Source organism: Homo sapiens, chromosome 21, assembly GCF_000001405.40.
Source record: "Homo sapiens chromosome 21, GRCh38.p14 Primary Assembly".
NCBI classification, from domain to species: domain Eukaryota; kingdom Metazoa; phylum Chordata; class Mammalia; order Primates; family Hominidae; genus Homo; species Homo sapiens.
In genome coordinates, this window is record NC_000021.9 from 45,802,961 (window position 1) to 45,826,127 (window position 23,167).

The 23,167-nt window shown below is 49.1% G+C and overlaps 1 protein-coding gene across 19 annotated transcripts in view, besides 4 other annotated features; it reads left to right on the top strand.

Annotated features, from left to right (window-relative positions):
- Positions 1–23,167, top strand: part of PCBP3 (poly(rC) binding protein 3) — a 298,726-nt gene that overhangs the window by 159,236 nt on the left and 116,323 nt on the right.
- Positions 14,047–14,548: an enhancer, noted in NCBI's record as "H3K4me1 hESC enhancer chr21:47236921-47237422 (GRCh37/hg19 assembly coordinates)". NCBI's record gives its function as "activates a minimal SCP1, AML or CMV promoter by ChIP-STARR-seq in naive H9 embryonic stem cells {active_cell/tissue: H9 hESC(naive)}" and the evidence as "EXISTENCE:reporter gene assay evidence [ECO:0000049][PMID:30033119]".
- Positions 14,549–15,048: an enhancer, noted in NCBI's record as "H3K4me1 hESC enhancer chr21:47237423-47237922 (GRCh37/hg19 assembly coordinates)". NCBI's record gives its function as "activates a minimal SCP1, AML or CMV promoter by ChIP-STARR-seq in naive H9 embryonic stem cells {active_cell/tissue: H9 hESC(naive)}" and the evidence as "EXISTENCE:reporter gene assay evidence [ECO:0000049][PMID:30033119]".
- Positions 18,795–19,480: an enhancer, noted in NCBI's record as "H3K4me1 hESC enhancer chr21:47241669-47242354 (GRCh37/hg19 assembly coordinates)". NCBI's record gives its function as "activates a minimal SCP1, AML or CMV promoter by ChIP-STARR-seq in naive H9 embryonic stem cells {active_cell/tissue: H9 hESC(naive)}" and the evidence as "EXISTENCE:reporter gene assay evidence [ECO:0000049][PMID:30033119]".
- Positions 21,666–22,258: an enhancer, noted in NCBI's record as "H3K27ac-H3K4me1 hESC enhancer chr21:47244540-47245132 (GRCh37/hg19 assembly coordinates)". NCBI's record gives its function as "activates a minimal SCP1, AML or CMV promoter by ChIP-STARR-seq in primed H9 embryonic stem cells {active_cell/tissue: H9 hESC(primed)}" and the evidence as "EXISTENCE:reporter gene assay evidence [ECO:0000049][PMID:30033119]".

The window sequence follows — 23,167 nt, forward strand, 5'->3', positions numbered from 1 at the left end:
TTTCTTGTTTTCAATAAAAAATAACATTTCCCGTCTGCATTGTACAGTCATAATTTGAAAACAAAAATTGTTTTGTTGTGCAAACACTTGTTCTGATTCTTTATCTATTCGTTGGAAGTCAGTCACAAAGCAACTTGAGAAAACAGCCTGTCTCTGCCTCCAGCCTGGTGTGCCTGCAGCTGTGTGGGTGCGTCCCCTCCTCACTTTCTCAGCAGAGGCAGAGGCTACAGTCTGAGTGGCAGAGCCCACCTTTCTGCTGGGGGTAGTGGCCATGCAAGGGTATTGGTGTGTTTTTTGCACATGCAGCTGGCCATGCTTTAAAATAAGCAGATTGACCTTTGTTTACCTTTCACCCCCAGAATGGTTTGGTCAATGACAGCAGCCATTTTTATTGTTTTTATTGTTTCTTTTCTGTGGTGGTGAAGGTGGCATCCCCTCCTAGCAGCTGCACACTGGGGTGGTCCTGAGGAAAGGAGGGCGAGAGCAGAGCTTGGGGGCGGGCCATGAGGGGAAGTCCAGGCCTCTCCACCCAAGGATGACCCTTTCTCCAAGAATCCTGCAGTCTGTTGTTAGGTCGGGAAAAAGCCGTGGTGGTTTTATACTGCCAGTGCCGGGAGCTTTCCCATGAAGTTTAAATGCAAACAGGACACTGAGGGCAGGAAGGTGTGCTGAGCTGCCCTGCACAGTGCTTGGCTCTGATGCCCACCCCAGGGTCCCTGGGCACTGCCAAGCTGGGCATGAACCTGGGGTAACCCAGAGGAACCTGGAGCAGTATGGGCTCCAAGAGGCCCCTGAGCTTCTCCAGGACCCAGATGGTGACAGCCTGGAACATGGCTTCCCCGTGGCCTCGCTGCCATAGTCAGGCCTCGGGAGGTGACCCTGTGCCAGGGCACCGGATGGCCCAGGTCCTGCTGGGGTGGGCTGCTGAGTCCCTTCCCATGAATGTTGTTACTGTGCTGTATCTCACTTGTGCCCTCGCTGAGATGAAGGACGCCTAGACCTTAGTGCAGGTGCCTTGGGGGCGTCCTGGCACTGAACATCCTTGAGACATCTGTGGTGCTTCTCTTCCTCATCTGTGGTGTTGTGGGCCTCCAGGGGAGGTGGCTGTCTGCCTGGAACAGGAGGCCCAGCCCACAGGTGCCCACTGCCTGCTGCCGCGCCTCCCTCTCTGCTGCCCGCGTGGCTGTAGTGTTTTTTACCCCATTGCTGTTTCGCTTGGCACCTACACGTTGGTTCCCTCCTGTGCACCGGGCTTTGTGCTGCAGGCTCTGGCGTGTTCACAGTACTCCTTTGGAGGGATTCTGTTTTTAGAATTAGTGGTACAATATCTTGTCATCTTGGTAACTTATTATTAATAAAAATGGTATAAAATGTTTTGCCTCCTAGTGCCCACACCATCCATGTAGATTATATTGATTTACTCCAGCTATTTGAAAGGCTTTGAGGTGGTGTACAATATCAAACCATGTGAAACAGCACGATTAACTGGCAAAACCAAAAGCCATGGAAATGAGCCGGGGAGCTTACTGAAGATCCTAGTCTTGGGGGAGATGTTTGGTGAAAATGTGTGCATTTGCTTATGAAAGACTTGTATTTATTCTGCACCCCCCTGACCCTGAGTGTCCCTTGGTCCATTGCCTGGGCTCTGTTGTCCTTACCAGGACTGCTGCTTCCCCAGTCCCTGCTGTCCTGCTGATGTGTCCACGCACCAGGCATTCGGCTCCTGAAATCACAGTGACTTTCAGGAGTCACTTGGGTTGTAGTGTTGGCCAGTTTTAGCCACATGAAGATAGTTTCTGAAACCTCCTGTGTGTGAATGACGGTTTTCACCTTGGGCCTGTCCTTCTGCTGCCACCACAAGCAGGAGGGGTGGGAAGGAAGGATTGCCCCCGAGAGAGGCAGCACAGGAAGGCCAGGCCGTGTTCCTGGGAGTCAGGCTTACCAGCTCAGAGCTGGGCATGGTTGAAATTCTAACCCTGCCGTGGCAGGCCCTGTGCTTTTGTGAAATGGGCCTCACGGGAGGGTGTCAGTGACGTAGATAAAGGCTTCCCACTGCCTGGATGCTGTGACCGCCTGATCCCGTGGTGATGGCACAGCCCTGCTGTGGGGAGAGCCGTGCAGCCCCAGGCCGTGTGTGGGAAGGCCTGTGCCACTCTGGGCATCGTCATCTTGGGCCATGGCTACCACATATGGCGCTTCCTAGCCGGGCACTATGCCACAGCCACACCCCTGTGGCCTGGCCCCCATGGCAGGGTCTAAGGCTGTTCCCCGGAAGCCTACCTTCTATAGGAAGAGGCATTCTTGTGTGACTCTCTGGTCATTTGCTTGGGGGAGCTGAAAACCCCCCAGGTGGTGTCTGGGGGGGAAAGTAATTGGAAGATTATGGGTGGGTGTGACTGGTAACAAGCAGGGGTTTGGCACCCCCCTTGCCCACCTGCCCTGTGTGCTGGGCCGTGCGGAGGTGGCCATGGGCAGCCCTTCCTTCTGGAGCCCCCTGTCTTCCCTTATCCACTGCCTCAAGGTTCCCACCAGCAGAGTGGGGCCACCTGGGTTGGTGCCAACGAGGTGCTCAGAGGCCTTGTGGGCAGTGTGGCAGAACGGCACATACAGGTGCCTAAAATCGAGCTAGGGGACCTTGAAGATAATGCTTCCTGTCTGCTTTTGTGTCAACAGTTGGGGCAAGCACATTTTCACAGGGAGAGTGTGACTGGAAGGACCAGCCGTTGCTGCTGGCAGCTCATCCCTGCACCTGAGCTTGCAGGCATGCTCCTGTCTTTCTGTGGTGGTAAAGGTGACATCCCCTCCTAGCAGCTGCACACTGGAGTGGTCCTGAGGAAAGCGCGCTCCTGTCTTTCTGTGGCAGCGAAGGTGGCATTCCCTCCTAGCACCTGCACACTCGGATGGTCCTGAGGAAAGGAGGGCGAGAGCAGAGCTGGGGGGGCGGGCCATGAGGGGAAGTCCAGGCCTCTCCACCCAGGAGTCTGTGAGGTTCCCATTGCATGAGAAGATGGAGGAGCCTCCTTGTGCTGCTGTGTCTCAGCATTAGAGAGGGCGGTCCACACGAATGTCATGTTGGGATGTTTTTTCTTCAGCTTCTGAGTCATTGCTGCCTCCAGGGTTATCACTGGGCAGAGAGCAGGTGTGATGTGTCTGAGGACCAGCAGCTCTGCACAGAGTGTGGAAGACCCCAGCAAAGCCACCCGGCTGCAGAATCGCAGAATCACCCTCGTGGCAGGCTTGGTGCGGACAAGTGGCTGTACTCCCGTGCTGGATGGAACGGCGGCCTTTCCGCCCTTTGGCCAAGTGCATGCAGAGACTCGAGCAGGGTGGGAGCTGAGGGCTGCTGCCAGCTACCCCTCACTGCACAGAAAGGGAAGTGGAGGTGAGGCCAGGAGACGTGTTCTTCCTGGAGTACAGGGCCAAGTCCTCCTTTCTTCTCAGATCCACTGGCACATAACCGCACCCTGGCTCAATGTGGCCCTGGATGCCTTCAGAACAATATGGCCAATGCAGTCCTCCTACTTTTCTCTGTCCCCTTTTCTTATCTCGTATTTTTACTCTAGAATTATGCTGGGAAAATAAGGCTTGAAGTTCTCTCATTTGTGTAGCACTTTGCAAATTACAGAGTACTTTTCACAACCTTGAAAGGTGGGTATTTCATCGTTCTTTTTTAGAATGAGGAGCTGAGTCATGGGGACCAGCCAGGGCCTCTCTAGTGAAGAGTCCTCCACAAAGCAGACCCCAAAGGGCCAGGGACCCAGGCCGCAGAGTCCCCACACCCCACGGAACATCTCTTTGGGGCCAAGGAGCAGCCTGCATTCAGAATTCCACTTCTGGTCCCCTCACCCAGAGCACTGAGGCACTGGGCTCTGCCCTCTCCAGATGCCGGCCTCCCTGCCTTGCTCTTGTTCTTTCTCATCAGATGCTCCGAGCTCCTTGTCATTGGCTCCTGTATGCAGCACTCACTCTCTGTGGACACTGCACACTCCAGGATTTAGAAAAACCCTTGTGGCTTTTCATTAATTTTATATTTGTGTTGCATTGCCCATTTTCCTTTCAAGAAAGTCAGCTTTAAAACAAAACTGATTTCTGCTATTTATGACAAACCCACAGCCAATATCACACGAATGGGCAAAAGCTGGAAGCATTCCCTTTGAAAACTGGCACAAGACAAGGATGCCCTCTCTCACCACTCCTATTCAACATAGTATTGGAAGTTCTAGCCAGGGCAATCAGGCAAGAGAAGGAAATAAAGGATATTCAAATAGGAAGAAAGGAAGTCAAATTGTCTCTGTTTGCAGATGACATGATTGTATATTTAGAAAACCCCATTATCTCAGCCCAAAATCTCCTTAAGCTGATAAGCAACTTCAGCAAAGTCTCAGGATACAAAATCAAAGTGCAAAAATCACAAGCATTCCTCTACACTAATAATAGACAAACAGCCAAATCATGAGTGAACTCCCATTCACAATTGCTACAAAGAGAATAAAATACCTAGGAATACAACTTACAGGGGAAGTGAAGGACCTCTTCAAGGAGAACTACAAACCACTGCTCAAGGAAATAAGAGAGGACACAAATAAATGAAAAAACATTCCATGCTCATGGATAGGAAGAATCAATATCATGAAAGTGGCCATACTGCCCAAAGTAATTTATAGATTCAGTGTTAGCTCCATGAAGCTACCATTGACTTACTTCACAGAATTAGAAAAAACTACTCTAAATTTCATATGGAACCAAAAAAGAGCCTGTATAGCTAAGACAATTCTAAGCAAAAAAAACAAAAACAAAACAAAAAAAAAACCTGGAGGCATCATGCTACCTGACTTCAAACTATACTACAAGGCTACAGTAACCAAAACAGCATGGTACCAAAACAGATAGATAGACCAAAGGAACAGAACAGAGGCCTCCGATATAATGCCAGACATCCACAACCATCTGATCTTTGATACACCTGACAAAAACAAGCAGTGGGGAAAGGATTCCCTATTTAATAAATGGTGTTGGGAAAACTGGCTAGCCATATGCAGAAAACTGAAACTGGACCCCTTCCTTACACCTTATACAAAAATTAACTCAAGATGGATTAAAGACTTACATATAAGACCTAAAACCATAAAAACCCTAGAAGAAAACCTAGGCAATACCATTCAGGACATAGGCATGGGCAAAGACTTATGACTAAAACCAAAAGCAATGGCAACAAAAGCCAAAATTGACAAATGGGATCTAATTAAACTAAAGAGCTTCTGCACAGCAAAAGAAACTATCATCAGAGTGATCAGGCAGCCTACATAATGGGAGAAAATTTTTGCAATCTATCCATCTGACAAAGGGTTAATATCCAGAATCTACAAGGAACTTAAACAAGTTTACAAGAAAAAAACAACCCCATCAAAAAGTGGGCAAAGGATATGAACAGTCACTTCTCAAAAGAAGACATTTATGCGGCCAAAAAACGTGAAAAAAAGCTAATCATCACTGGTCATTAGAGAAATGCATATCAAAACCACAGTGAGATACCATCTCACATCAGTTAGAATGGCGATCATTAAAAAGTCAGGAAACAGCAGATGCTAGAGGGGATGTGGAGAAATAGGAATGCTTTTACACTGTTGGTGGGAGTGTAAATTAGTTCAACCATTGTGGAAGACAGTATGGCGATTCCTCAAGGATCTAGAACCAGAAATACCATTTGACCCAGCAATCCCATTACTGAGTATATACCCAAAGGATTATAAGTCATTCTACTATAAAGACACATGCATGTGTATATTTATTACAGCACTGTTCACAATAGCAAAGACTTGGAACCAACCCAAATTTCCACCAATGATAGGCTGGATAAAGAAAACGTGGCACATATATACCACGGAATACTATGCAGCCATAAAAAAGGATGAGTTCATGTCCTTTGCAGGGACATGGGTGAAGCTGGAAATCATCATTCTCAGCAAACTAACGCAAGAACAGAAAACCAAACACCACATGTTCTCACTCATAAGTGGGAGTTGAACAATGAGAACACATGGACACAGGGAGAAGAACATCACACACCAGGGCCTGTTGGGGGGTGGGGGGCTAGGCAAGGGATAGCATTAGGAGAACTACCTAATGTAGATAATGGGTTGATGGGTGCAGCAAACCACCATGGCATGTGTATACCTGTGTAACAAACCTGCATGTTCTGCACTTGTGTCCCAGAACTTAAAGTATAAAAAAAGTGATTTCTAAGAGCGCTTTTCATTTGTGACTTTCTGCCTGTATCATTTCACAATTATATAAATATTGGACGACTTATTGTAGTAATTATCTTTCTGCATTTCCATCTCTATCTAGAATTTATTTCGATGACTCTATACATCAGGGTTCAGTTAGGAAAACCATTTCCACTCCACGCATTTAAAGAGAGCATGTTGAGTACAGAGAGTTGATTAGAAAGGTGATGTAGGGCTGAGGAGTACGGGAGATAAAGAGGGGGTGTGCGAGCAAGAGGAGGAAGGGGCTCACTGGGGCTGGAGTTGCTGGTGGTTCTGGGCTGGGGCCTGTCAGCCTGGGCCGGCTGCTGCGTGGGGAGCACAATCGTGCTCGGCTCTGGATCCACGTGGAGGAGCTGATCTGAGCAGGGCTTGACTCTCCTAAAAGGAGCTGCCCCGCTTCCCCCCTGCCGCTGCCACTACAGCAGCTGCTAAGTGCGGCAGATGCCAGCAGCTGCTATGCTGCGATCCGGGTCGGGGCAAGGCCCTCTGTCCTGCTGCCTCTTCCCTGCATCATCTCCCATCAGAGACCCTCACAGGAAGCCAACTGATGAGGTTTGGGGGGCAGAATTCTAGGGGGTCCTAAGGCTTCTGCTCTCTGGTGTACAAGCCTTGCATACACACATCCTCTTGAGAGTGAGTGGGACCTGCTGGTAAGGTGGGACATCACCCCTGTGATTATGCCATGTTACTTGGCCAAGGGGTTTTGCAGATGGTATCAGGGTTTCTAACTAGTTGACTCTGAAGGATCAAGCACATCAATAATCAGGGTGATGTCACTGGAAAGCAAATTTTAGCCTAATAGAAAAAAGATTTATTGTGAAGTTTTATGCACAGTATTGAATTTTGTCAAATGCATTTTTCTGCATCTATTGAAATAATAATTTACTGCCTTATCATGTTAATATGGTAAATTACATATTGCCAGATTTTGCAATATATAACCAATTTTGCATTCCTGGTGTAAACCCTACTTGGTCGTGATTCGATTCTGTGTGTGTGTGTGTGTGTGTGTGTGTGAGAGAGTGTGTGTGACAGAGTCTCGCTCTGTGGCCCAGGCTGGAGTGCAGTGGCACGATCTCAGCTCACGGCAGTCTCAGTCTCCTGTGCTCAAGCAGTCTTCACACCCCAGCCTCCCGAGTAGCTGGGAGTACAGGTGTACAGGGAGTACAGGGAGTACAGTACACCATCATGCCTGGCTAATTTTTTTTTTTTTTAATAGAGATGAGGTTTTGCCACATTTCTCAGGCTGGTCTCAAACTCCTGGGCTCAAGCGATCTTCCCACCTCGGTCTCCCAAAGTGCTGGGATTATAGGCGTGAGCCATCTGTGCCCGGCCAATTTTTGGACTTTTTTCACTAATATTTTGGTAATGATTTTTTATAGCTATGGTCATGAGAGACACTTTCATTTTTCTCATCTCTGTGTCAGATTTTAAAACCAGAGTTATGCTTGGTTTACGCAATGACTTTGGAATTATTCCCTCTTCCCTGTTTTCTGAAAGGGTTTGTGTAAGATTGGTGTTGTTATGTCTCTATGTGTTTGACAGAATTTGCCGGTGCCTTGAGTCTTCTTGTCGGGAAGGTATTTGACAACAACTTTCATTTTTTAGTTTCTATAGAGATATTCAAATTTCCTTTTACAGTTTGTATCAATTTTGGAAGCTGTAGTTTTAAAATGGCCCCACTTCATCTAAACTGATACATATGTTGGTGTGAAGTTGGTCATCATAATAATCTCACATTATCATTTTAATATCTACCGGATCAGTACTGACAACTTGTCTTTCATATCTTTTGTGATTTTTGTTTTCTTTTTCTCTTGGTCTAGGTGTTTTTCCATTTTTTTGTATTTTTATATTAACCTTCTTTTCTTTATTTTGTTTACTGTTTGTTCGCTGTGCTTTCATCAGTCTCCATTCCTATTTGTTATTTCCTGCTGCATTTGCTACATGTGGCCACCTTCCAACATCACCACAGACTCCATGGCTTACAGCACAAGCTCATCACCTTTCAGTTCTGCTGATGAGAGCCCCGACAGCAGGAGGCCCCACTGGGCTCTCCGCAGCAGTGCTGCATCCCTTCTGGAGGCTCACGGGGAGGACTCACCTCCTTGCCTCTTCCAGATTCTAGAAGTGCTCCCGTTCATCTGCTCCTGAGTCCTCCTCCACCTGCTGTGTCAGCCACAGGACCCAGTTTGGAAAGATTCTCCACTTTTAAGAACTCAAGTGATTAGAGTGGCCCCACCTGGATAATCCAGGATAATCTCGCCATTGCAAGGCCTGTGACCTTCATCACATCTGCACAGTCCCTTTGCCACAGAAACAGCAAACACATTTAGGACTGTTACATCTTCTTGATAAACTGACCCTTTTTTATTGTGAAACATTTCCCTTTCTACCTGCTAATATTCATTGTCCTTACACCAGCTTTGTCTGGTATTGAGACATGTTGGCTTGCTAGGATCAGTATTTGCATGCCATATTTTTTCTCATTGTTTTACTTTTAACTGTCTGTGCCTTTGTATTTAAAGTGTTTCTCTAAAAGTAGCACGTGCTTTGAGTCGTGCTTTTGTTATCTTGTCTGGCAGTACATTTTTAACTGGAGTGTTAAATCTGTTTACACCTATTGTAATAACTGATTTGGTTGAGTTTATTCTTCCTTCTTCTTATATGTTTTTTAATTGTCCCTCTCTTCTTTTATAGCTTTTCCTTTTCCTGCCTTAATATTTATCAGTTATTCCTTAGAATTTCATTTTATTTCCTCTTTATCTTTTAGCTCTGCTTTGTATTTTTGTTGTTTTAAAAATTTTAATATACAATTTTATCATTGTTCACTCAAACTTATATTACACCTTTTCACATTTACTATGAGGACCTTACAACAATATACTTCCATTTAACTGCTCCTTTTTGGGGAGGTCGTGTTGCCATATAATTAACTTCTGCACATGCTATCATAAGCCAGAAGGTATCTGGTACAGGTCTCAGTCAATTTAGAGGTTTATTTTGCTAAGGTTAAAGACCATGGGCTATGACACAGCCTCGAGAGGTCCTGAGAACATGTGCCCAAAGTGTGGGTTTTATACTGTTTTCTGTTTTTGACACTCTGTACTCTTTCTCACGGATCTGAGTTTCCATCTGGCATCATTTTCTTCAGTCTGAAAATTTTCCCTTAACATTGTGTTGTTGTCGTTTTTGAGATGGAGTCTTGCTCTGTTGTGCAGGCTGGAGTGCAGTGGTGCCATCTCGGCTCACTGTAATCTCTGCCTCCCGAGTTCAAGCGATTCTCCTGCCTCAGCCTCCCGAGTAGCTGGGATGACGCCCACCAACACACCCGGCTAATTTTTGTATTTTTAGTACAAACCGGGTTTCACCGTGTTGGCCAGAACTGCTGGCCTCAGGTGATCCGCCCGCTTCGGCCTCCCAAAGTGCTGGGATTACAGGCGTGAGCCACCATGCCCGGCTGTGAACATTTTTTGTAGTGCAGTTCTGCTAGGTATGAATTCTCTCCATTTTTATTGATTGATAATTTTGATGATGTCTTTATTTTGCCTTCATTTTGAAATTCTCTCTAAAATTTTAGGTTAGAGGTTTTGGGATTTTTTGCCCATATGTAATATGTCATTCCTTTGCCTCTGGCTTCCACTGTTTTTGATGAGAGGTCATTCCTTACCCTGTTCATTCTCTTTGTGCAATGTATTTTTTTCCTATTGCTTTGAAAATTTTCTCTGTCTCTGATTTTCAGCAGTTTGACTAGAATGTGTGTGTATATGGTTTTCTTCTCTTCTGTTTTTTTATGGGAGTTTGTTGAGCATCTTTATATGTGTGATTGACACTAGCCATCAAATTTAGAAAATGGTTAGCCATCATATTTAACTTTTTCCCATTTCAGTCTTTCTTCTCTTCTGGGACTCCAGTTAAACATATTTTAGACCACTCACTATTGTCACGCAGGTCTCTCAGGTTCTGTTGTTTTATTTTTAAGCTTTTTTTTATCTATCTGTGCGTAGTTTGAATAGCGTCTGTTGATCTGTAGTTCCCTGGTTGCTTTGTATGCAGTATGTGTTCTGCTGCTAAGTCCATCCAGTGAATTGTCTTCTCCGAAATTTTTATTTTTCATTTCTTGATTTCTAGTTGGCTCATTTTTATAGTTTCCCTTTTCTTCCTTAGATCTTCTGATGAGTTCACTCATTATGTTCAGTTTGTTCAGTCTGCCTTTCATTTTCTTTTTTGGAAATGGAGTCTCCCTCTGTTGCCCAGGCTGGAGTGCAGTGGCACGATCTCAGCTCACTGCAACCTCTGCCTCCCAGGTTCAAGCGATTCTCCTGCCTCAGCCTCCTGAGGAGCTGGGATTACAGGCATGCGCCACAACGCCCGGCTATTTTTTGTATTTTTTAAATAGAGATGGGGTTTCACCATGTTGGCCAGGCTGGTCTCAAACTCCTGGCCTCAAGTGATCCACCTGCCTTGGCCTCCCAAAGTGCTGGTATTGCAAGCGTGAGCCACCACACCCAGCCTTCCTTTAATTTTCTAACAAATTTATAATAGCTCCTTTAAAAGTACCTGCCCAATAACCCCAATGTGTCTGCCATCTCTTTATTTTTATGGACTAAATTTGTTTTCTGATATTGGACCATGTTTTTCTGCATCTACATATGTGCAGTATTTTTTGTTTGTATGATGTTCATTGGATAGTCGTGCATCGCTTAATGACAGGGACACATGCTGAGAAATGTGTTGTTAGGCAATTTCCTCCCTGTGTGAACATCATGGTGTGGACTTACACAAACCTAGCTGGTGCAGCCCACTACACACCTAGGCTGTATGGTACAGCCTATTGGTCTTAGGCTACAAAGCTGTGTAGTGCATGACTGTGCTGAATACTGTACGCAGTTGTGACACAGTGGCAATTGTGTGTTTAAACACTTCGAAACATAGAAAAGGTGAAGTAAAAATACAGTATAAAACATAAAGAATGGCACACCTGGGTAGGGCATTTATGAATGGAGCTGGCAGGACTGGAGGTTGCTCTGGGTGAGTGAGTGGTGGGTGAGTGGTGAGTGAGCTAGTGAGTGGTGAGTGGTGAGTGAGCTGGTGAGTGGTGAGCTAGTGAGTGGTGAGTGAGTGGTGAATAGTGAGTAGTGAGTGGTGGGTGAGTGGTGAGTGATGAGTGGTAAGTGGTGAGTGAGTGGTGAGTGGTGACTGAGTGATGAGTGGTGAGTGGTGAGTGGTGAGTGATGAGTGGTGAGTGAGTGATGAGTGGTGAGTGAGTGGTGAGTGGTGAGTGATGAGTGGTGAGTGAGTGATGAGTGGTGAGTGAGTGGTGAGTGATGAGTGATGAGTGGTGAGTGGTGAGTGATGAGTGGTGAGTGAGTGATGAGTGGTGAGTGGTGAGTGATGAGTGGTGAGTGGTGAGTGAGTGGTGAGTGAGTGGTGAGTGATGAGTGGTGAGTGGTGAGTGAGTGGTGAGTGATGAGTGGTGAGTGATGAGTGAGTGGTGAGTGGTGAGTGAGTGGTGAGTGATGAGTGAGTGGTGAGTGGTGAGTGGTGAGTGATGAGTGGTGAGTGAGTGGTGAGTGGTGAGTGAGTGGTGAGTGGTGAGTGAGTGGTGAATGATGAGTGAGTGGTGAGTGATGAGTGGTGACTGGTGAGTGAGTGGTGAGTGATGAGTGGTGAGTGAGTGGTGAGTGATGAGTGAGTGGTGAGTAGTGAGTGATGAGTGGTGAGTGAGTGGTGAGTGGTGAGTGATGAGTGAGTGGTGAGTGAGTGGTGAGTGAGTGGTGAGTGATGAGTGAGTGGTGAGTGAGTGATGAGTGGTGAGTGGTGAGTGTTGAGTGAGTGATGAGTGATGGGTGAGTGGTGAGTGATGAGTGAGTGGTGAGTGGTGAGTGAGTGGTGAGTGGTGAGTGAGTGGTGAGTGGTGAGTGAGTGGTGAGTAGTGAGTGGTGAGTGGTGAGTGAGTGGTGAGTGGTGAGTGAGTGATGAGTGAGTGGTGAGTGATGAGTGGTGAGTGATGAGTGAGTGGTGAGTGAGTGGTGAGTGAGTGGTGAGTAGTGAGTGATGAGTGGTGAGTGGTGAGTGAGTGGTGAGTGGTGAGTGAGTGATGAGTGAGTGGTGAGTGATGAGTGGTGAGTGGTGAGTGATGAGTGAGTGGTGAGTGAGTGGTGAGTGGTGAGTGAGTGGTGAGTGATGAGTGAGTGGTGAGTGGTGAGTCAGTGGTGAGTGGTGAGTGGTGAGTGAGTGATGAGTGATGGGTGAGTGGTGAGTGATGAGTGAGTGGTGAGTGAGTGGTGAGTGATGAGTGAGTGGTGAGTAGTGAGTGATGAGTGGTGAGTGGTGAGTGAGTGGTGAGTGGTGAGTGAGTGGTGAGTGATGAGTGAGTGGTGAGTAGTGAGTGATGAGTGGTGAGTGGTGAGTGAGTGGTGAGTGGTGAGTGGTGAGTGATGAGTGAGTGGTGAGTGAGTGGTGAGTGAGTGGTGAGTAGTGAGTGATGAGTGGTGAGTGGTGAGTGAGTGGTGAGTGGTGAGTGAGTGATGAGTGAGTGGTGAGTGATGAGTGGTGAGTGGTGAGTGATGAGTGAGTGGTGAGTGAGTGGTGAGTGGTGAGTGAGTGGTGAGTGATGAGTGAGTGGTGAGTGGTGAGTCAGTGGTGAGTGGTGAGTGAGTGATGAGTGATGGGTGAGTGGTGAGTGATGAGTGAGTGGTGAGTGAGTGGTGAGTGATGAGTGAGTGGTGAGTAGTGAGTGATGAGTGGTGAGTGGTGAGTGAGTGGTGAGTGGTGAGTGAGTGGTGAGTAGTGAGTGGTGAGTGGTGAGTGAGTGGTGAGTGGTGAGTGAGTGATGAGTGAGTGGTGAGTGATGAGTGGTGAGTGGTGAGTGAGTGGTGAGTGGTGAGTGAGTGGTGAGTGGTGGGTGAGTGAGTGATGAGTGAATCTGAAGGCCAGGACATTACTGTGCACTGCTGTAGACTTCATAAGTACTGTACACTTGGGATATGCTAAATTTATGATATAACAAAATTTATTTCTTCAATAATAAATTAACCTTAGCTTACTCTAACTTTTTTGCTTTATAAACCTTTAGATTTATTTTTTAACTTTTGACTCTTTTGTAATAACGCTTAGCTTAAAACACAAACACATTGTATGCAGCTACGCCAAAATATTTTCTTTGTTTTTATAAGAATTTTTCATGTTTAAGATCCCCTTCCCCTTCCCCCTCCCCGTCCCCTGCCCCTCCCCTCCCTCTCCCTCCTCCCCCTCCTCCTCCCCTTCCCCCTCCCCTCCCCTCCCCTCCCCTCCCCTCCCCTTTTGTTAAAAACTGAGACACACACACACACTTTAGCCTAGGCCTGCACAGGGTCAGAATCGTGCATGCCACTGTCTTCCACCTCCACGCCTTGTCCCGCTGGAAGGTCCTCAGGGGCAGTAACAGGCGTGGAGCTGTCCTCTGCTGTGATCACAGTGCCTGCTTCTTGACACCTCCTGAGAGACCTGACTGAGGCTGTTCTATGTTAACTTTTTTTTTTTTAATAAATAGAAGGAGTACACTAGAATAATGGTAAAAATATAGTATAGTAAATACACAAACCAGTAACACCATCGTTTATTATCATCGTCAGGTATTACTATTGTAAGTAATTGTACGAGTTACGCTCTGATGTGACTGGCAGGGCAGCAGGTGAGTTTACACCAGTATCACCACAGGCGTGGGGGGAGCCAGCTGCACTCCTTCCTAAGGAGGCCACAGCGTTGCAGGGTGATGGGACTTTTCAGCTCCATTCTAATTTTAAGGGACGGCTGTGGTATATGGCACGTCTGTTGTTGCCTGAAATGCCGTTGTGTGGCACGTGACTATATATGCTACGCTGTTAAGAATTTGGGGTGTTGTGTTTGTTGTTTTTGGTTTTTATTTCTGCAGGCATCTAATTTACCGAAACTTCATGTCATGGCTCGGTCGAACTTTGTCAAGGAAAGTCTTCACTATCCCTTCCTCTAGAACTTAACGTTGTCCTCCTCCTAAGGTGTAGCCTTTCATGGGTCTCAAGTGAACACCCTGGATGCTGAGTGAGGGGCCTCCACTGTGGCTGTGAGCAGTCCCCGCCTCGTGGTACCACATGACATTTAGCGTGTCTGTTCACCTCATACTCCCCAGTAGTTCTGTCTCTCTCTGCCATTCCTCATGGAGTCCTTGCGTGCACAGCATAGTATTTGGCCAACATCTTCCTGCAGTTTGGGGGCCCCGTCTCCTCTTAGCTCTTGCCTCTGCTGTCCCCATCTCCCATATTCCAGCTGCTGCCGCAGCCCCCATGCTTGCCTTTTGTCCTCAGCCCCCCAGCGAGGCAGCAGCTTGTGTGTGTGCTGCACTGCCGTGAGCAGCAACTTGACAGTGGACGCAGCTAGAAAGCAGCCGGCGAGGAGCTCAGCGTGTGTCTCCGCCGGGTGAAAGATCACAGTCCTGCACCCTGCTGTGCAATGCTCGAACACACTTGCTTCTTATTTCTGTCCAATTCTTAAGGTTTTTACTGTGGGATCATAAGTCCTTACTCCTTCATGGTTGGAATCAAAATCCAAAACCTTGTGGTTTCCATTTTCAGTTGATGATATCCTTATGAACTCAGGATTTATTTCACTTTTGAAAAGTTAATAGTCTTTATGTTTTAGGGCAATTGTATTCTACAATACAGAAAAATTATTGGAAAGTATAGAGCGTGCCACCTCCTCCCCTCATACAGAGCTTCTCCTGTTACGTACATCTTGCCTCAAGTGTGGTACAGTCAATGAACCAATATTGGTACATTATTATTATTATTTTTTGAGACAGAGTCTCGCACTGTCGCCCAGGCTGGAGTGCAGTGGTGCGATCTTGGCTCACTGCAACCTCCACCTCCCGGGTTCACACCATTCTCCTGCCTCAGCCTCCCGAGTAGCTGGGACTACAGGTGCGTGCCACCAAGCCTGGCTGATTTTTTGTATTTTAATAGAGACGGGGTTTCACCTTGTTAGCCAGGATGGTCTCGATCTCCTGACCTCATGATCTGCCCGCCTCGGCCTCCTAAAGTGCTGGGATAACAGGTGTGAGCCACCGCGCCGGCCTGGTTCATTGTTATTCACGGATGGTCATAGTTTGCATTGGGGCTCACTGTGTTGAACACAGGTTTTGACAAGTGTCCAGTGACACGTGTCCCTGTCATTACTGTGTCATACAGAAGAGCTCCACTGCCCCCATGCGCTTCACGTACTCACTCCTCCCGTCCCTGAAGCCCCTGGCAACCACTCATGTTTTTATTGTCACTATAGTTTTGCCATTTGCAGAATGTTTTGTAAGAAACTGCCACAGTTTTGTAAGAAACTGCCAAACTACCTTCCCAAGTGGTTGCATCACTTTGCAAACTAAAATCTCTCTAACCGTGAGATCTATTAGTCATGCTCCTTGGTATTTACTCAAAGGATTTGAAAACTTCAGCCTACACAACAACCTGCACACAGATGTTTATAGCAGCTTTGTTTATCATTGCCAACACTTGGAAGCAACCAAGACATCCTTTAGTAGGCAAATGAATACACCAGTGGTGCATCCAGACAGTGGAATATGATTCAGCACTACAAAGAAATGAGCTGTCAAACCATGAAGTGATGCGGAGGAACCTTGAATGCGTGTTACTTAGTGAAAGAGGCCAGCCTGAAAAGGCTGCATGCTATACGATTCCAACTATATGACATTCTGGAAAAGACAAAACTATAAAAATAGTATAAAGATCAGTGGTTGCCAAGAGTTGGGCGGAGAGATGGATGTGTAGGTGGATCACAGAGTACTTTTACTACAGGGAAAATACTCCGGGTGATGCTGTAATGGTGGATGCGTGTCATTACACATTTGCCCAAACCACAGAGTACAGCACCGAGCGTGAGCCCTGCTGTGAACTCTGGACCTGGGGGGTGGTGATGTGCCCACATGGGTTTGGTTGTGACTCATGTACTGCTCTGGTGGCGGGCTGTGGGGGATGGGCCGTGGGGGATGGGGGTATATAGGAAATCTCTGTGTTTTGTGCTCAGTTTGCTGCTCTAAAAAATAAAACCTAAACAAAGCAGTCGGAGTCCCTGAAGACTGTCCTGTGACAGAGCAGGAAGGGCTCCCTTAGCTCTGAGGGAAAGCGCTGGTTATGTATTTGCTCTTCTCCCAAGAACACACAGTCTAATTTTGATCCTCTTTACAGACGGGATGAAGGGCATGTTCATCAAGTAAGCGGATGCAGGTGCAGAGACCACACCTGGCACGACACTGCCGTTGGGCACCCCAAGGCCGAGGCCGGCAGCCACTGTTGTCCCCAGAGTCCATCTGGTTTCTAGAGTGGAAAATGGAAAGGGGTCAAACCGCCCACGCAGCCCTGAAGTCCTTGATGGTAGTGTAGATTCTACAGTCTTCCCCAGGTGCTATCTTGGCTGAGGTGGGGAAGGCTCCTGGGGACTGTACTTGGCCTTTTCTGCCTTAATATCCTGCTCAAGGCCGGGGCCAGAGGGCTTGTCTGGCAGCTGCTGGGCGCCTCTGTCCAGTGCTGTACCAGAACGTCTAGCAGATGGGTGTGCGGGCACAGGGCCTCTGCCAGATGGACTCGGGCCAAGCTCCGTCTGTCATGTTAATTGTGGGTCCATGATGGTGTCTGAGTCCCCTGGAGTGGGCAGGAGCTCAGGCCCCAGACCCAGCCATTGTCTGAAGGTCCAGGGCCTGGCCACTCACTCTGCCCATCATGCTGTCACTCCAGGCAGTTACTCAGGCCCGCTGGGGAAGGTGGGGTGAATGTTTGCTCTACACCGCAGGACTGTTGCGGGTCTTCCCTGGAGACTGGGTCTCCGTTTCAGCCACTGGCTCTGACCCATGGACCAGCTCAGACCTCATCTCCTCTGAAGGGAGTGGCGCTGGCCTTTTCCTGGCTCTCGGCTATGTGTGGGATGATGCTGGCCTTCTCCCGGCTGTCAGGTGTTTTTGGTGTGTCCATGTCAAGTGTATCCGTCCTGGGAACACCCAGTCCGGCTGCCATGGCAGTGGGCACCACGGGCCAGCACACCTTTGCTGCCTGTGAGGTCGTTGCGCCTACCTGGCCCCATGGGCCCCATTTTATCTCGTCGCTTTGCTGTCTGGGAACTTTGTCACCCACGGATAGGAGTGCCAGGCCCAGGAGGATGTCACGCAGTGTTGGCACTTCAGCTTGGCTGCTGTTCTCCCACAATCCTTGTGAGGGCCTGTGATGACCCAGGTCAGGATAGGACAGGTGGCTTGGGTTCTGCGGGCCACACGGTCTGCAGTGTGCGTGGCCTTGACCTGGTGCTGGAAGGCAGCTGCAGACCACGAGTCAAGGAGGGGGTGAGACTGTGCTCCGGGGAAACGTGGATTGTGGATATGGGCAGCCAGCGGGGCCTGCAGACCCCTGGGTTAGAGCCAAGCCCCAGAGGCACCTTGGTTTCTGAGAAGCCAGAGGAGGGAGTTCCTGGGACCTGGGGGATGACCATGGACCTCTGCTGCCACCTCGTGGCAGGGCTGACGTATCTGAGCCACGTCCTTTTCTCCCGGTTTAGAAATATCCTGGTGGGAGGCGCTTTTTCATCCTTGCAGCAGACAGGCAGCTCTGTTGGCCACACGATCTGGGCTGTGTGCCCCGCCTTCAGCAGAGGCCCTCAGGACCCTGCGGGATACAGCCTCGAGAGGACAGAGCCTCAGACTCTGAAGGCCACAGCAGTGATAGCACACCTGTGTCTGAGGAGTGCGTTCTGAGAGGAGACCCGGCCCCTCGTCCTTGTCCATCCATGTGGCTTCTGCAAAGCACCCTTGTCTTGCAGAGCCAGCGAGCCTGGCGTTGTGACCTGGGCTAACTTGGTACCTTTTCTCTTTTTAGAGGCAGAATCCTTTCTTGAGAACAGCATCTTTCAACTCTTGACCTGCTCCCCCTTCCCGGTTCCCACTTTTTGCCTGGCAGGCTGGGAGGGACCCCCTCTCCTGTGCAGCCTCTCCCTAATCCTGGATTCCGCAGGGGCTCCAAGACCCTCAGGGTCGCCAGTGACTCCTGGGTCACACTGGCCCAGCACACACTGAGCTCCAGCCTGATGTCCAGCCCAGGAGGTCCTCAACTGAGGTCCAGTACCCCCCTGCACCACGCTGTGGGCCCCGCACCCTCCCCCAACTCTTTTCTACAACACTCTTCCCCCTGCACCGTGCTGTGGGCCCCGCACCTTCCCCCAACTCTTTTCTAGAACACTCTTCCCCCTGCACCACGCTGTGGGCCCTGTGCCTTCCCCTAACTCATTTCTAGAATACTCTTCCCTGCCTGCACCCTGCTGTGGGCCCCGCCCCCTCCCCTAACTCATTTCTAGAACTCTCTTCCTCACCTGTCTCCCTGGTTCTTGTTCTGGCTTCTCCACGGGACCCTCCTGTCCTCCCGTGTGATGCTGACTGCTCGTGACATGTTGCAGCCTGTCTCTGCTCCCTTCCCTGCTCTTGTCACTTCTTGCTGGTGCTCTGTGGCTGTCATGCAGACTGGGGTTGGGGTTCTGTTCCCTCTACTGTACTGGAGCTCCAGGTCATGGGAGGCAGCAGAGCCCAGCCCTGGCCCTTCGAGCTTCCGTCCTGCAAGCACCGGCAGTGTCAGGGAGGCACCGCCCAGGGGAGGCTCCTCCTTAGGGTGCATTGTCACTCGGCGTTTCCGACACCTGCTCTCATCATTTTCCTACCTTCTCTTTCCTGACAACTTAGCTATTTATCAGACCCCAAAATCATGAGCCTTGAGAAATGATATTCCACATGCTCATCCTCTGGAGGACACCTGGAACTGAGCTTGCTTCCCTGCTCACCCTGGGAAGTGGTTTCACAATGTCCCTCAACGTGTGACTATCACCCATAGCCTCCGGTATCTCTCTGTGTTCAGTGTGAGGCCATTTGCTCGTTTGACCCTTTTGAAGGTCAGGAGAAGCTGGCAGGACTCCTGCAGGCACAGGCACCGGCACCGTCATCCTGGGAGCCATCGGGGTCCTCAGCCCCCACTGCAGCCTGAGCCTTTCCTCTGGCCGCACTGTCCATTTCTTTAGCTCCTCTTTTGCCTTTTCTGGGGCCTTCTCCGGTGTTCTGCGTTCTTTTAAATGTTTCATGGTTAAAACTGGACACATCCCCCAAGAAGCTATAAATCAACCATAGCAAGAACTGATCTCTTTCCAGGTGACTATAAAAATGATTTTTTAAAAATGGTTCTTTAAAAATTGTCAGTTAAGCAGATAACAGACCCAAGACAGGGCCAGGAGAGTGAGGGGCGGATATGGCATGGGACAGGGTTAGGAGAGCAAGGGGTGGACCTGGCATGGGACAGGATTAGGAGAGCAAGGGGCGGACCCAGCACAGGATAGGGCCAGGAGAGCAAGGGGCGGACCCGGCATGGGACAGGGTTAGGAGAGTGAGGGGCGGACCCAGCAGGGGACAGGGTTAGGAGAGTGAGGGACAGGGTTAGGTGCACGAGGGGCAGACCTGGCACAGGACACACCCATCTTGGTTGTGAGTTTCTGACTCTTCTTGGTTTTGGTGACCTTGACTGTCCTGAGCAGGACTAATCAGGCATTTTTCAGGCTATCCCTCTGCTGGGATCTGTCTGATGCTTTTCTCATGGGTACAGGAAGGGGCTATGAGTTTGAGGAGGAAGCCCCCAGAGGTGAAGTACCACTGTCACCCCATGGTATCGGGCACACCCTGTCACTGTGACTCACATGTGAGGCTGACCTGGGCCCTAGCGGGGGGTAAGGTCTTCCCCCTCCATGCTGTCCTCTTATAGGACATCGGTCTGTGCAACCTAAGGGTGAGATAAGATTGTAGTTTTATTCAACTCTTACTTTTAAAATTTTACAAGGACTCACATTGACGTAGTGGGTGAGATTAGAATTAGACTTTTTAACTTTCTGGCCTAAAACTGATTGTACTGGCACCTTTTGTGAAATGACCTCTGCAGTCCCCATGACCCCTCAGGTCAGTCACCTCTGTTCCCTGCATGTCGTCCTCCCCAGCGCCCGCTGGCATGGCTGCTCTGCTGTGCCAGGAACACAGGGTTTCAGAGTTTCAGAAAACGTCGGCCTTAATTCCTTCAGGGGACCTTCCACACTGTGCAGCTCCAGGAGAAGTCCTGCTGGGGATTCGGTTGAGGTGGTGTCTGGTCTCTTCATGAGTGGAAAGTGCAGCCATTTAACCCCCTTGACCTCCCACCCCAGGCGTGGACTTTCCGCTGTGCAGATTCCCTTTCATGTCCCGCAGAACCACGCGTGTCCGTTCTTCTGAGAGTTTTTTCCTGGTCCTCACACAGTGTGTGGGCTTGGCATGGGCTGCGATCTTTGGCTCTGTGATTCACTGACTCACCCAAAGGGGTGGCCGACGGGTTCCTGCAGGGCAGCTGTGGCAATTCAGGGCCCATGGGCCTGGGTTCAGGGATGCTCCTCAAAGAGTGTGGCAAAGGACCCCAGGCAAAGTAGGTGTTTTTTTTTTATTTTTTAATTTTTATTTATTTATTTTGAGATGGAGTCCCTTTCTGTCGCCCAGTTTGGAGTGCAATAGCATGATCTCGACTCACTGCAACCTCCATCTCCCGGGTTCCAGCAATTCTCCTGCCTCAGCCTCCTGAGTAGCTGGGATTACAGGCACCCACCACCACGCCCAGCTAATTTTTTTATTTTTAGTAGAGATGGGGTTTCACCATGTTGTCCAGGCTGGTCTCAAACTCCTGACCTCACGTAATTCACCCGCCTTGGCCTCCCAAAGTGCTGGGATTACAGGCATGAGCCACTAGGCTCGGCCTGTTTGTTTCTTTTAAATAAATGCTTCTCAATTTATAATGTGTCTTTAGTTGATTTCCAGCATCCTAAAGTGGCTATTTTTGATGGTTTCATCCCATTTGTCATTGTCTTGGGCAGGGGATGTGCTGAGCCCCTCACTCTGCCTCCTGGGAGTCCTGCCTCCTGCATCATTTCTCTCGGACACTCAGGACAAGTCTAAGGATCACATCACTGCCCTCAGGTGCAAGTCCCTTTCCAGAGCACATGTGCTTTTAGAACACTCCGAGTTTTGCTGTGTTTTAGATCTCATTCCCTTCTTTTTCTACATTTGTTCCATTGTCTAACTAAGAGACTCAGGGCATCAGGCAAGTCATGTCAGAAAGGTTGGCTTTAGAAGCCACATCCCAGAATTCCTAAACTTAATCATGGAAGGAGGGGGCAGACTGACAACGCATTCCCTATGTCCTCTAAAGAGATTTCTCCCGTTGGGATTGCTTTATCCCCAGAGGTGTGCTGTAGAACCAGCCTGTGTTCACAGTAAATCTCTGCTTCCGCAACAGCGGTGAGCTCTCAGCCCTCCCTGCCCTGGTCTTGTCTCTAGGGCCTGTGGGTCTTTGTGGACTGATGGTGTGGGTGGGTTTCTGAGGGTCTGCATGGACTCATGGTGTGGATGGGTTTCTGAGGGTGTTGGTAGCAGTAACGGTTCCACATGATGAAACCCAGATGGCTGCTCCCCACTGTGCATCCACCCGGATTCACCCGCTGCTTTGCTGGCTGATGTCTACAAGGACATAGATGGCCTGCATCTGGCGGGGGCTGCAGGAAAGCTGGCAGGACATGGGGCCATTAGAAGAGGTGTGAGACTGTCATCAGCAGTAAAAAGTGGAACAGCCCAGGGAGCCCTCTTGTGAGTTTATGGCTTAAAGTCCAAGTACAACTTCGTTTGAAAGAAATGCCTTCCTCCTGAGAAAACATTGACAAGCCTGCAAGCCCTGCACCCTGCAGGTGGGCAGCTGCAGAGAAGGGGCACCCTGGTACCTGGCAGGGGGCCTCAGCCCTGGCCTGCATACAGCAGGTGTCCCTGCATTGGCTCTGAGCTTGTGCCACACAGGAGGTAGCTGTGATGCCAAGCCCTTGCTCTGAGGTTCTAATTGCTGTGGTCTTGGTGGTTCAGGGATGTTTGCGAGCTCCTGAGTGACTCCGAAGTAAAAGCAAGGCTAGGTCACCACAGAATCTAGATGACATTCTCAGCGCCTTCCTGGGAGTAAGTGGCTGCCTCGGCCACTGCTGCCTGTCTGCATGGCTGCTCTGTGGAGCCTGGCCCTCCTCCCTGATCGTCATCTCTTAGGAAATGAGGCAAGGGAGAGTGTCCCCGCCGCCGTGGAGAGCCCAGGACCTGAGCGCTCAGCTGGCCCTCCTGTGTGACCCGTGTCCTGCCTGCCGCCCAGCACCCTTCTGTCTTGTCCCTCAACCCATGGCTGGTGATTTTGGGAGGGGTCTGCCACTCCTGGCGGCTCAACAGGCTCCTCCCTCCCAGTTGGCAGATCAGTGTCACCGTGGATGAGTTTCCTTCAGATTGTTTTTCTGTATTAGACGGAGGAAACCCTTTCTTATTTTTCAGGGCTCATATAGATCATTATTTCTTTTTGCATCTCAGTAGGAATTCTGCAATTCAGTAGGGAAATGCTGGAAACTGGGAGGAGGGAAGACTCCTCACTTTGTCTGGGGAGGGGAAGTTCTCTCAGGCAGGGCATCGAGGTTGCCCCAGCAGAGGTGGGGTTGGTGGTGGGACGTGGGGGCGCATGTGGAATCTTTCACAGGGAGGGATTCAGTGCATACAGTGACATGGAAATAAATCCAAATGACTTTTTCCTTATTTTAACTATTAGTATTAAAATACATTTACTTCCAAGTTACTACCTATGAAAGAAAAAAATATATAACTAAAGAGGAAAGAAAAAAGCAGTGAGGGCGGGGTGCAGTGGCTCACGCCTGTAATCCCAGCATTTTGGGAGGCCAAGGCAAGGTTGGGAGTTTGAGACCAGCATGGCCAACATGGAGAAACCCTGTCTCTACTAAAAATACAAAATTAGCCAGGCGTGGTGGCA